Below are 14,994 nucleotides of genomic sequence, written 5' to 3'. Positions count from 1 at the left end.
GGCTCTTGAGGAGCTGTAATGACTTAAAGGAAGGTGAGAAAAGTGTCATCAGAAATTAGAGAAAATTAGATCTTTGCTATGTTCTGGTGGAAAGTTTAGCAACATTGTTTCTTGTGATAATATGGAAAAGAAAAAGATACAGTTAAATGAAATTGTATAATCTAGCTAAGGACATTTCCAGGTAGAGTATTGAAGGAGCCATCGGGCATCTTCTGTTTATAGTAAAAGAAAAAGAAAATGGGAGAGAAAAAGCTAAAGAAGAACTATTACAAATGAAGAAGCCAGGCATTACTGAATTTTAAAGTAAAATGCTCTTTCAATTCCAATCTCTCCAGATGGTGAACAATGCAAACATTAAGAAATCACATTTCTAAGCAAAGATCAAATTCCAGGAAAACATGATCTAAGGATGACAAGGAAGCGTGACTATAAAATCTACATAAAGACCCAAGAAAATTATTAGGTATTCCTCAGGGAGACACTCCATGAGACAGAAGACCCTCTAAAGAGCTTATTTTTATGCTTTACAGGTCTTTTCAGTTAAACAATAGGGATTCTAATTATCTTAAAAGCATTTTCCTTCTGTAGATCTACAGAAGCTCAAGGGGTAAGGGGGAGCTTATCTTTATATAATTGTGGATGTGCCTTTTATTAAGTGGAGTAAACCTGAATAAAATTCATAGAAAACCCATTCATTTTTAAGATAACTATATTGGAGGTAACACCACCAGCTTGTACTGAAAGGGACAGAGTTGGGACAAAATAGAAACAGGCCTTTGACTTCCAAACTTTATGGTCAGGAGTCTATGCAGCTGTAAACATAGACAACCTCTATATACATAAAAAAAGGATGACTTACAGTGGCAGAACTAACACAGAGGGCAGAGCCAAGAGCCATGGAGAATCATGTCCGGGAAACAGCATGACTGAGTTCTAATCAAGAATGACCAGCATGTGCCTGACTGGATTGCAAAACTGCTGTGGACCAGTGACTTGTCTCTCTTATTTTCTCCACTTTTGAACCAGAGAGTCTAATTTGGTTTCTCTGTGCATAATCTACCATTGTATATGTGGTGTGAGGATGGCACAAAACTTGTTTACAGGTCTTAAGATTGACAACTGTACTTGGGAAGTGGTACTTGAGTGACTATACCTAAACAGCTTCATTTTCTCTTGGACTCTCTGAGATTCATTTTGGATTGACTTGACTTAGACAATGAGGTCCTGGAATTTGAGCAGATGGCCTAGTGGAATGAGACTTTGGATGGCTTTTAGAGGAGGTTGGGTGTACTTCGTGTGTGGAAAAAGATATGTATCTCTGTGGGCTGTAGGGTGAACACCGGCAATCAATCTCCAAGATGGCCATAAATCTTCACATTATAATTATGTTATTTTAAATACCTCCTAATATTTACGGCCTGTATAGTTCCCTCCCACACAATCAGTGCTGCTCCGTGTGACACAGAATGTTGCAGTAGTAACAAGGTGATATGATTTCCAAGGTTAAGTATAAAGGCATTAGAGGCTGCACCTTGGTCTTTTGATCCCTTACTCCAGGGAAGCCAGCCTAAAAGCCATGGAAACCCTCAAGTAGTAAGATGGAGAGGCACCTAGGAGGAGAACTAAAGCCTATTACCAAGTTCCAGCAGCAGCTTGCTAGCCATGTGAGTCTGCTATCTTGAAATGGAGCCTCTAATCCTAGTCAAGTCATCAGCTGATTGTGGCTCTAGGAAACATGTATCTGCAGCCTTATAAGAAATATCAAGTCAGAACTGCCCAGCCAAGCTGCTCCTAAATTACTGGCCTCTTACAGAAAAGTAAGAGATAATAAATTATTACTACATTGAGCCACTGAGTTTTGAGGCAATGCACTATGCAGCAATATATAACTAATACAAAGTATAACAAACACATCCTGCTATTATAATCTCAAATCAGTTTTAATAATTAGAACCTGAAGATTACTCACACCTGTGAAACATTATGTAACTGGTGGAATATTGACAGTTCCCTTAGTCAACAATGAGCTAAAGATGTTGGATCTCTGATACTGAACCTCCTGCTGTTTTAACTCCCTTAGAAACAGAGGAGAACCTATTATTTATTTTCTGTGTTTGTTCTCTTTATGAACAAATGAAATTTCAGTAAAAATACTAGTGTATTAGTGTTTGTGATACCTTCAGTGACTACTCCAAAGCTCAGGATTTAACCTACTTAGATTAACAGTGGGATTTTTTGGTAATATAAATTTGCAGCTGGCATTTTGAGGGTCAGAAATGAATAGCTATAAAATGGAAATAAAGTGAATGTAACGAATTGTCAAGTTAGTAAAAATATAAAGTTAAAATTTTTGCGTATTTTTGTTATATCTTTGAATTTCTATGAATTTGGAATAAAAAATACAATGTCTATACATGGGTCATTGTAACTGGTTTCTACAATCTGACAATGTGTTAAAACACCCACAGTGAATTGTAATCTTGTCAGTCTCAATTGCATCTTACTTTCCATGCACTGGAAACCTTTCTTCTTTCCAGGAACATTGTAATTATATTACTTCACTGGCATGTCTGAAATTTCTGTTTCAAGACTTGCATATAAAAACTTCATACTTGATTTGAAGTCCACTCAGTATATTGCTATTCTTGCTGACAAAGAAAACACAAGCATTTTCAAGGTTTTAAAATTTTAATTCAGAAATACATCAGTGAAAAACTTGCTGATATTTGTTTTGACATTAAAATGGCAACCTAAATTGTTGTAAGTTATAATGTTCATCTGATGGGACAGAAAAAGCAAACGGTGGACAACAAGGTTGAAAAATTGACATGTTTAAAACCAAGTGCATATAAAGCTTCTCTCTGCCTTTTTTAAAGTTGGGAAGGTTGGGAGGTCCAAGGGAGGCTGGTGGAATGCTTTAAGGATGTTTAAAACCACCTACTGTCTTCCTTTCAATTTGATCTTGGCAGATTGCACAAAATATCTACTAGTCTCTACTGTTTACTCAACCTTCCTGAATAACAAAATGTCTACTAATCTCTACTGTTTACTCAACCTTCCTGAATAACTTAGTCAAAAACCCATTGAGCAGGGGCAGGAAAACAGCCTCATAAAAACTAGGGTCCCAGCAGGCAGGAAGATAGAGTAGTCCAGGGGAAGAGAGTCTAGTGGTGTCCAGGACCTGTGCACAGAGGATGTCCACACAGGATCTCCACCCCATGTGGCTGGGAGATTGGTTACAGTACAGGTTGATTGGGCAAATAAGTAAATACATGGAGGATAGTGAGAGTCAAATTCCCAACGTCAAAGAAAGAGGGTACACATATGAAACATAAGAAAGAATGTTCACGCCTGTAATCTCAGCACTTTGGGATGCTGAGGTGGGCAGATCACGAAGTTAGGAGTTTGAGACCAGCTTCGCCAACATGGTGAAACTCCATCTCTACTAAAGATACAAAAACTTAGCCAAGTGTGGTGGTGTGCACCTGTAATCCCAGCTACTTGGGAGACTGAGGCAGGAGAAACGCTTGAACTTGGGAGGTGGAGGTTGCAGTGAGCCAAGATTGCGCCATTGCACTCCAGCCTGGGTTACAGGGCGAGACTCCATCTCAAAAAAGAAAAGAAAAAAAAAGACAGAATGAACCCAGTGGGTTTGCATTAGGATTTAATCAATTAGTGTAAATTTGTGGTTTTCACTATATGTAGATAGATACAGAAATAAGTATGAATGAAATTGTATATTTGGTCAATATACAGATGGTTCCTATCATCCACTGAAGACAGCCTACGTACAGGGTCACTCTCAAAGCAATGAATAGTTCTGTTTCCCAGATCCTGGTTTCTATGCTGGGCAAAACCAAGACTCCTTGGAGAAATGACTGATTCTAAGCTGTGTTAGGGAAAGTACAGTAAGAATCTGGAACATTTTGCCACACCAAAAAGTAATGAAGTGCCCAAAGAATGATGGGGTCATGTCAGAATGACACAGGAGCCAGCCTGAAATGGCATCTGCTCCTCAAATTAAGGGCAATTTGCATACAAAATAAATAATTTGAGTATCAAAAAGAGATTTTGAATATCAAAATAAAAAAGGGAGGAGAAAAAAAGAGGAAGCTACAGATCATATCCTACTGAATAAAGTAGGAATCCAAGAGTCTGCCTGTCTAAAAGTGAATAAATACACAGGGAAAATAGAAAGCTCCTCCAATAGCACTACACTAAGTAATACATGTAACAGGAATGTAGGAAGAAGAAAGTCACCATTTGGAAACCATCATGTTAATAATTAATTCAGGCAAGGCATATCAATAGGTGCTCAAATAAGTGGGTGAAAGTTGGAAGCAGAACATAGCCTCAAACTATCTCCTTAAAAATATAGTTTTTTAAAAAACTCATAAACCACCCCCATCTAATGAACGAGACCTACTATATGATAGCACAATAGGGTAAATACAGTCAATAATAATCGTATATTTTAAAATAACAAACAATGTAATTGGATTGTTTGTAACTCACAGGATAAATGTTTGAGATGGATACCCCAATCCCCATTATTGAATGCTTGTATCAAAACCTCTTATGTACCTCATAAATATATACACCAAGTACCCCAATTTTAAAAATATATATGTTTATTAATTTCAAAGGGGAGAGCAGTCACTTTACATTGGAGAAACCAGGCAGATACCTTTATAATCAAGTGATCAATGTTATCACCATGAGTAACAGGACCAATTGATACTGGGGGGCCACCTGATGAGATTCAATGAGAAGAATAAAGCATGGTGTGTAAGACACCTGTCAAAAATACAAGGCTGGGTATAACATCAAACTAATCCAATTTCAGGACAAGCGACAAATGACTGGGATAGAATATTCAAGAATGAGAAGGTTGTGAAAGTGAAGAAATTACTAAAGTGAAGATATAATTATGATTGTTAGAGACTGGAGAATCAGAAAAACAGGGTGTGACATGTGATCCCAGAGTGGGTCCTTTTGCTGTAAAGGACTGATATGGTTTGGCTGTGTGCCCATCCAACTCTCATCTTGAATTGTAACTCCCACAATTTCCATGTGTCATGGGACAAACCGAGTGGGAGGTAATTGAGTCATGGGGGTGGGTCTTTCCTGTGCTATTCCCGTGATGGTGAATACGTCTCACGAGATCTGATGGTTTTAAAAATGGGAGTTTCCCTGCACAAGTTCTCTCTCTTTGCCTGCCACCATCCACATAAGATGTGACTTGCTCCTCCTTGCCTTCCACCATGATTGTGAGACTTACCTAGCCACATGGAACTGTAAGTCCATTAAACCTCTTTCTTTGGTAAATTGCCCAGTCTCGAGTATGTTTTTATCAGCAGCATGAAAATAGACTAATACAGTAAACTGGTACCAGTAGAGTGAGGTGCTGCTGAAAAGAATCCTGAAAATGTGGAAGCAACATTGGAACTGGTGACGGCAGAGGTTGGAACAGTTTGGAGGGCTCAGAAGAAGATAGGAAAATGTGGGAAAGTTCGGAACTCCTTAGAGACTTGTTGAATGGCTTTGACCAAAATGTTGATAATGATATGGACAATGAAATCCAGGCTGAGGTGGTCTCAGATGGAGATGAGGAACTTGCTGGGAACTGGAGCAAAGGTGACTCTTGTTATGTTTTAGCAGAGACGGGTGGCATTTTGCCCCTGCCCTAGAGATTTGTGAAACTTCGAACTTCAGATAGGTGATTTAGGGTATCTGGCAGAAGCAATTTCTAAGCAGAAAAGCATTTGAGGGGTGAATGCGTGCTGTTAAAGGCATTCAGCTTTTAAAGGGAAACGGAGCATAAAAGTTTGGAAAATTTACAACCTGACAATGTGATAGAAAAGAAAATCCCATTTTCTTAGGAGATACTCAAGCCTGCTACAGAAATTTGCATAAGTAACAAGGATCCAAATGTTAATCATCAAGACAATGGGGAAAATGTCTCCAGGGCATGTCAGAACTTTGCGGCAGCCCCTCCCATCACAGGCCTGGAGGTTTAGGGAGGAAAAAATCATTTCATGGGTCGGGCTCAGGGTCCCTCTGCTATGTGCAGTCTAGAGACTTGGTGCCCTGTGTCCCAGTCCCTTCAGCTGTGACTAAAAGGGGGCAAGATACAGCTTGGACTGCTGCTTTAGAGAACAGAAGCCCCAAGTCTTGGCAGCTTCCATGTGGTATTGAGCCTGTGGGTGCACATAAGTCAATAATTGAGGTTTGGGAACCTCCACCTGGATTTCAGAGGATGTATGGAAATGCATGGATGCCCAGGCAGATGTTTGCTGCAGAGATGGGACCCTCATGAAGAGCCTCTGCTAGGGCAGTGCAGAAGGGAAATGTGGGGTCAGAGGCCCCACACAGAGTCTCTACTGGGGCACTGCCTAGTGGAGCTGTGAGAGGAGGGCCACCATCCTCCAGACTCCAGAATGGTAGATCCACCTACAGCTTGCACTGTGTGCCTGGAAAGGCCACAGACTCAACACCAGCTCTTGAAAGCAGCCAGGAAGGGGGCTATACCTTGCAAAGCCACAGGGGCAGAGCTGCCCAAGGCCATGGGGGCCCACCTCTTGCATCTGCATGACCTGGATATGAGACATGAAGTCAAAGGACACATTTTGGAGCTTTAAGATTTGACTGCCTTGCTGGATTTTGGACTTGCATGGGGACTTTAGCCCCTTTATTTTGACAATTTCTCTTATTTGGAACAGCTCTAGTAACCCAATGCCTGTACGCCCATTGTGTCTAGGAAGTAACTAACTTGCTTTTGATTTTACAGGCTCATGAGCAGAAAGGACTTGCCTTGTCTCAGATGAGACGTTGGACTATGGACTTTTGAGTTAATGCTGAAATGAGTTAAGACTTTGGGGGACTGTTGGGAAGGCATGATTGGTTTTGAAATGTGATGTCATGAGATTTGGAAGGGGCCAGACAAGGAATGATATGGTTTGGCTGTGTCCCCACCCAACTCTCACTTTGAATTGTAACTCCCACACTTCCCACGAGTCAGGGAAGGAATCTGGTGGGAGGTAATTGAATCTTGGGCATGGGTCTTTCCTGTGCTGTTCTCATGATAGTGAATAAGTCTCATGAGATCTGATGGTTTTAAAAATGGGAGTTTCCCTGCACAAGTTCTCTCTCTTTTCCTGCCACCATCCATGTAAGATGTGACTTGCTCCTCCTTTCCTTCCACCATGATTGTGAGACTTCCCCAGCCATGTGGAACTGTAAGTCCATTAAACCTCTTTCTTTTGTAAATTGCTCAGTCATGAATATGTCTTTATCAGCAGTGTGAAAAGAGACTAATACAAGGACATTTTCAAACAAGTAACAAACGTTGAAGGAGGTCTCTGGGTGAAGGGTACAGTAGTGGCCTTTTTATCCTTCTTGCAATTTTTTTGGTAAGTTTTAAATTGTTTCAAAATAAAAACTATTTGTATAAAATGTTATGTTCCAACTGAAATGGCACTTAACGCTAAAAATTCTGTCATCCAAGAGCTCTAATTTGGATTACATTTATTCCACCTTGTTATGCATTCAACCTCTATGGATTATTGATGAGATTGCTCTTCATAGTGTCTGATAATTTTCAGGCCACTAAAGAACATTTTCAGTCTTTCTCTTACTAGACCTGTCAGTAGCATTTTACACTTGATCCTCATATATGTATTCTATATGATCAAACCAGGGTGACTTCTGTGGCTTTCAAAGACTCTGAATATTCTGACTCCTGACTCTCACTGCAAGGTAAATTCACATCTCTTTTAGGCAGATTTAGGCATAGAGAGATCCCTAACCCTAAAAATCGTAGGATACATTCACCCACTTAGAGCATCCCTCTTCTGAAATTTACAAATTAAAACAATATGAATTAAACCATTAAATATGTGTAAGAAAATTATACATGAGTTTCACTTTTTCTGTAATATATACTTTACTCTTCAAGGAAATCTATCATATTTAGCAATAGTTCTGCCATGTTATTGTGTGGCTACTTTGCTAGTTTTCAGAGTGAATACTTAAGATGTCTATCCTTGGTCACCATGTTTCAGCCATACTCTTCTCTATGCATCTCAGGAAAACCAAACCCTTTCTTCCTATTTTTCTCACTTGTACTTTTCATGGCTGAGTTATCCATATGATTCAGGTCAGTTCAAATGTCACCTTCCAAGAGGCCCTCCCAGACCAGTCAATTTAAAATTTTTCTATAAATTTTTTTCATTTTAGATCTTCAACTACTAATTTCTTCTTACAGAATTTGTCACAATTTATAATTATCTGCATTGGTTTATTTAGTTACATATGTGTGTGTTGGGGGGGCTGTGTTTGTGTGTATGCACTTCTGAATATGGTATTTTCTTTTTCTAGTATATTCATTTTATGAATCAATGATTCATAAACGATTTTTATTTTTTTACTTTAAGTTCTGGGATACATGTGCAGAACATGCAGGTTTGCTATATAGGTACACATGTGCCATGGTGGTTTGCTGCACCAATCAATCCATCATCTAGGTTTTAAGCCCCACATGTATTAGGTATTTGTCTTAATGCTCTCCCCTCCCCTTGCTCCCCACCCCGACAGGCCCCGGTGCGTGGTGTTCCCCTCCCTGTGTCCATGTGTTCTCATTGTTCAACTCCCACTTATGAGTGAGAACGTGTGGTGTTTGGGTTTCTGTTCCTACTATAAAGACATATGCACATGTACGTTTATTGCAGCACTATGTATCTTTTTAAAAATATTTGTTGACACAAAATTCACAAACCTTAAAAATCACCACCTTACTTATCTAAAACAATCCATATGATATCAGAGAGAAGATCAAGATACAAGGTATTTATTAAGTCTGAAAATAGTGATAAAAATATCTTCTTTAAAACATAATATATATTGGTTTCCAGACTTATAGACCGCTCTGTATTTGTTAGGTGAATGATCACTTGAATGAATGCATTAATTTTTATGAAGAAAAATGTATTGAGTAAGGCGGATACAGAGCCAGGAGAGAGGAAAGATATTAAACTGCCGGTCAGAGACCTTTCTGATAAGAGAACTGACACCAAGACCTAAAGGAAGTGAAGATGTAATATTAAGTATCACTTTTTTTCTAGGATAAAAATAGTGTTGGCAATTTCAATCCTGTTTATATTTATTAAGCACCTAAACTATATTGCTTTTGTCCTCAGGAATGCTATAATCTCATTAGGAAGATAAACTACAGAAAGAGTAATATAATAGGATTAAAAACAATGTTACTGCCCATTCATATGAGTAGATAAACTGGCAGTATTAAAAAGTTTGAGAAGGTGCCACTCTCTTCTTGATAATTTATCTTTCTTTGGCTGACAATGTACTACATCATTCGAGGTTTTCCTTCTACTTTTCTGACAATCACATTTCAACCTCCTGTACTGACTTCTTGTCTCTTACCTCGTCTGTAAGTGAGAGAGTTCCTAAAGCTTGTCCTAGGCTACTTCTGTTTTCTTGGCAGATTCTCCTTAATAAAGACCTTATCCAAAGCCATTGCTTCAACTACCAACTATGGGAGGATGTCTCTAATCATATCTCTGTCTCAGCTCTCTCCTCTGAACTCAACACTAATATATCCAAAGTTTAGTTTGACTCCTCCATTTTAATATTGCACTCATGTTCAAAACTCAAGATATTGCTGGTATTCTGTCATTGTCTCTATATCACTGGTCACTCAAAAAGTCTTAGCTTCAGTTTATCAATAAGTTTGTGCATATTAATCAATCAAGAGTTGATCCTGGCACTTCCATCCTCACTCTGCAAAATGCACAATCATATCATATTAATTCTACCTGTTGAATAGCCCTCTTTCTCTTCGTTCCCACCTGAGCCCAGACTACCACAGATTTTCTACTGTCCACTTCCAATTTGTTTCTGGCTTGAAGTTTGAGGTGTCTCTATCAAAAATATTAATCTGATCCTGTTATGCTCCTGTTCAAGAGCCTTTTATTTATTTAATAAAACAAACTCAGGAATTTTGAAAATGCCCAGGATCTTTTTTTTCCCTCTAATGATCTGGTTTTCCAAATGCAAAATATGTTTGTAGTGATTTACAAATTATTATGCCATATATAAACAAGAAAATACTTATTTTTAAAAGTGATGTTTATTAGATTAATTGATTTAATGAAAATTAATTTGGTATAATTTATTGGACCATTTAGAGTAGCCATATTATTTTAAATTATACTTTAGCTAGAATATTTCATAATATTTAAGGTTTAGAATGTTATTTTTATACATGGATATTTATAATAACTATATTGTGTTAGTTGTAGCAACTGTTTTTTAATAGTATTTGTGGGTTTCCCATCTTATTTTCATATAATACTCATTATATATAAAATATGTTTATACTAAAGTTGGTTTAACATTAAAAGATAGTGATATTTTTGAGTATCTTTTAATAAGCGTAAAGAGATTTACAAGAACGTAAAATTGAAAAGAAATTAGAGAAGCAGACTAGTATGTTGACAAACTAGGATACTTAGCAATTTGCAAATCAAATTATACAAAATGATTTAAAAAGCCATCGTTGCCTAGGGGCCACAATAAAAGGATGAACAAACTGAATAATTTGACACTTTCATATATTTTTTACATAGTCTTTTTCATGACCTAGTTGTGTATTGATAAATAGAGAAAATGCAAATATAAAATAAATAATTTTTACATCAGATAACTTTAATTCCTTATATCCACAAACTGCTAGTATATCTAAAACATCGGCAGATACAGTCATAACATAAAATAATATTGTCTTACTGATTTTTTCTTATAAGTGTAAACATTTGCTTAATTACTATGAAATTATACAATATTCTGAAAAATACAATGCCGGTGGTTGGAAGCTTGGGCTGCAGAATAGCCAGAACTGGTTTAAGATGTATTTGTGTGACCCTGACTAACTCACTCATCCTGTCTTAACGCCAGTGTTTTCATTTGTAAGGCAGGAATTAATAATACCCAATTCCTATGGTTTTTGTAAACTGTTAAATAAAACACTGTATTAAAAGCCCCTAGTACAGTGACTGACACCCAGCAGCTGCTCAATCAGCTCTGCCAGTGTCATTTAGTGTTTGCTTGAATTAGACAGCTTTGAGGGAGTAGCGTGCAAGTTTCTCACGTTTAAAAATATTTTGTATTTGAGAGATTCGTTTTTCACTCTATTTAAAAAACAAAAAAAAACCCAGAAAATAATTTCTTAGTCTCGTCTATATTGTCATTTTGAAAGTCTATATATTTTCCAAATACTTTCATATGGGGGATGGCTCTGCTATTAAAAAAATTAGTATCATTGCAGATGGAAAAGTAAAATATGGATATAAACTAGACTCACAATTATCTGCATTAAGATGATAGGGACAATCCCAACTAGTAGGAAATCAAACACAGTTTTATTTAGCTTTGGAATGCTTCTATATATGACTATATATTTTGGTATTCTGTTAATTTGATATTAACTTCAAATCAATAGCAAAGCCAGATTGTGAGGCTCTATCTCAGGAGTTGCTTTGAAATTGGCGAGCCAAGAAATGCTTTGTGTAGCGTGGGCTCTTGCCTTTGTCACCTTAACATTTTTCTGCCTTTTTTTTGGCTTTGATGCTTAGGAGTGTGCTTGGCCTAAAATAGGAGCCTGTGACTGCCATTCTTCCTCCTGCTTCTTCTTTTCTTTGTTGTTATGGTGTTTGTTATTGTTTGTATTATTATTATTCCTCTTGATATAATCTTTAGAAGCTTTTCAATTTTCTGCACTTGGTATAAATAAGATGGTTTTACATGTTATACAAATGTCTTCATGTTTATTGATGAAGCGTGATGCTAGAATGTAAATGCAGAATGCTACAAGAGCACCTCCAAATTTCATTCATAACAAAACCCTTCAATAAAAATCAGGGTTTTTTTTTCAAGATTATAATGTCTATTCTGAGATATTTTAAAACATGGCTTTTTGTATCTGAAAACATTTCTAAAATATTAACTGCACCCCAAAAGTTTATAACATAAATTTTCTGATATAAGATAATTTATTTAAAATACTTAACATTCTGTAATGTCACATCACATAATAGGAAACAGAAACAATAATCTCTAAGGATTACATTTCCTAGGACGAGGCAACATGGGAGCCTGAAAATTTTCCAGTTTCAAACACCTAGAAATGCTAAATAAAATGTAACATACATCTTTTAAGTTATATATCTGAGCATCCAGTAAAATAGGAGAAGCTTTTGGGTATCAAGAAAAAAAGAGAACACTGAAATTCAGGGTGTTAGCTGATGGTGGGCTATAGTAGTCAGAGGGTATTTACTAATCTTTACAATGCAGAATTTTGGATTTCAAGGCCAAACAGAATTAGAAATCAAGTAATAGACCTGTGCAAAGAATAGGAACTCCCTCACGCCCCTAGCCCCACCACATAAAACCTAAAAATGCTAAATTCACAGTAAAGCAGACACTGGAGAAAAATTAACTAGTCAGCAAAGAGGGATGACAAGGAAATTTGTCTGTATTTTATCTTTTTCCAAAAAAAATGATGATTCTTGAGAATGCATAAGCCATAAACTTGCTGAATTAAATTACAGCTTTTGAATTTACACTGACTATTGGATATAACCCCCAAATCAAGAACTTAAAATAGAAAAAATGGTTCCAAGCTGGTATCTTTTGAAATAAAGTGTAACCCCTCTCTGGATTCACTCTGGAATTATAGGATTACTAATGACAAAGCCCTGAAAAATTTAAACTCACAATCCAAAAATATAAAACTCAAGAAAACAAGTATAATGAACAGAATTCAGCAGAAACACCGCATGGAATATTTGGCCCCCATGAATTCAATTTCAGCTAAATTTGGGGATTGAGAAATAAAACATTCATAAATTATTTGAAGTAAAATGAGAATTAAATATACAAGAAAAGAATAAGATATACTGTAATAGGCTGTTCTCATACTGCTAATACAGACATAGGCAAGACTGGTAATTTATAAAGGAAAGAGGTTTGACTCACTGTTCTGCAGTGCTGGGGAGGCCTCAGGAAACTTATAATCATGGCGGAAGGGGAAGCAAACACACCCTTCTTCACATGGAGGCAGCAAGAAGTACAGAGCAAAGGTGAGGGAAAGTCCCTTATAACCATCAGATGTCGTGAGAACTCACTCACTATTGTGAGAATAGCATGGGGGGAACTGCTGCCATGATTCAATTATCTCTCACTGGGTCCCTCCCACGACATGTAGGGATTATGGGAACTACAATTCAAGATGAGATTTGGGTGGGAACACAGCCAAACCATATCAAATAATACTTAAAAATTACCAGTCATTGTTGATAAGGAAATAAATGGATACTCCAGGAATTAAAAATATATTATTGGAATTAAAAACGCATTAGTTATGAACATTCTAACTGGACTCTTTCAGTTATTTTTAAATGTAAAATAAAATATTGTTGGCTTTAGTTACCTTGTTGTACTATCAAACATTAAATCTTACACATTCTATCCAACTGTATTTTTGTAACCGTTAACTGTCACCATTTCCCACCTTACCCACTATCCTTCCCAGCCTTTGATAACCATCATTCAACTATCTCCAGGAGTTCAGTTATTTTAATTTTTAGCTCCCACAAATGAGTGAGAACGCACATAGTTTGTCTTTCTGTGCCTGGTTTACTTCACTTAACATAATGTCCTTCAGTTCTATCTATGTAGTTGCAAATGACAAGATCTCATTCTTTTATATGGCTGAATAGTACTCTGTTGTGTATACGATGAATTCTTTAGGTGATGGATACCCCATTTACCCTGATATAATTATTAGACATTCTTATGTAGCCCATAAATATATAGACCTATTATATACCAATATAAGTTAAATTTTTTTAAAGAAAAAAACCTCTCATTAGTTGCATTAAGCAGATGAGACAAAGCTACAGAGTGAGTTTGTAAACTGAAAGGTAGATTGAATATCGACAATGTCATTCAGAAATTTAAAAAAACTTAGAAACATTAAATATAAATTCTACAATATACAGTATAAAAATGAGTTCTAACGTATTAGGTTGGTGCAAAAGTAATAGTGGTTTTTGCCATTAAAAGTAATGACAAAAACTGTAATTACTTTTGGAACAATATTAATAGAATTTCAGAGGAGAGAAAAGGGAGAATGATGGAGAATCAATTAAAATACGTAACATCTAAGAATTTTCCAGAACATTTAAAAATTCAGATTCAGAAAGGACAATACATCCCAATTAAACATTTTTATAAAGGTAATCTAGCACTAAACACAGCATGCTATAACAGCACATTACCACGGAACATAAAAGTAGCAAGGGAGAAAAGAGAGAGTATCCCTAAGGAACAATTTTAAAACAGTCAGGAAGCTTCTTAAGAAAAGTGAAAACAAAAGGTAGAATTTAGTAGGATAATATACTCAAAGTACTGAGAGAAACTAAACTTTCAACATAGACTTGTATACCAAGCTAAATAAACAGGGAAGATGGTAAAATTAAGATATTTTCAGAAAAACAAAAAATGAAAAAATTTTAAATTAAAAATGTAAAAATAGAAGCACCTTAGTACCAACACATTCCCATTAAAAGCCATCTAAACTAAAGGATGTGTGTCAAAGAATGGAACTATGTCCAGAAAAGAGAGAAATACAAGATGACATAATAACAGAAGAAATATGCAAATGTGGTAAAATCTAAAACTATATTGACTACATAAACTAAAATTATAAAAGTGATAATGACTAATATTAAAGTTAAAAAAGAGAACTAAAACTCAGGACAAAAAGTAGACTATAGCATGATAGGGTGTGATTAGAAGTAAGTTTCAAATACTGTGATTAGGATTATGTTCAGGAGAAAGATCAAGATCTTAAGCTATGTTGGAATTTAATAAGTATTTTTGAAAAAAAATAAGGATAATCCCTAAAATACTAGA

At 36.3% G+C, this 14,994-nt stretch overlaps 1 protein-coding gene and 1 non-coding gene across 3 annotated transcripts in view; one reads left to right on the top strand and one right to left on the bottom strand.

Moving 5' to 3' along the window:
* Positions 1 to 14,994, bottom strand: part of CNTNAP2 (contactin associated protein 2) — a 2,304,198-nt gene that overhangs the window by 1,028,790 nt on the left and 1,260,414 nt on the right. The window lies entirely within an intron of this gene.
* Positions 14,088 to 14,192, top strand: MIR548F4 (microRNA 548f-4). The gene has a single exon (NR_031645.1). It is a non-coding gene; the product is annotated as a microRNA 548f-4 (primary transcript).

The sequence above is a fragment of the Homo sapiens genome, chromosome 7 (genome assembly GCF_000001405.40).
Source record: "Homo sapiens chromosome 7, GRCh38.p14 Primary Assembly".
In the NCBI taxonomy this organism is placed as follows: domain Eukaryota; kingdom Metazoa; phylum Chordata; class Mammalia; order Primates; family Hominidae; genus Homo; species Homo sapiens.
The sequence above is the reverse complement of the archived record's forward strand: the minus strand, read 5'-3'. Positions and strand labels throughout refer to the sequence as shown.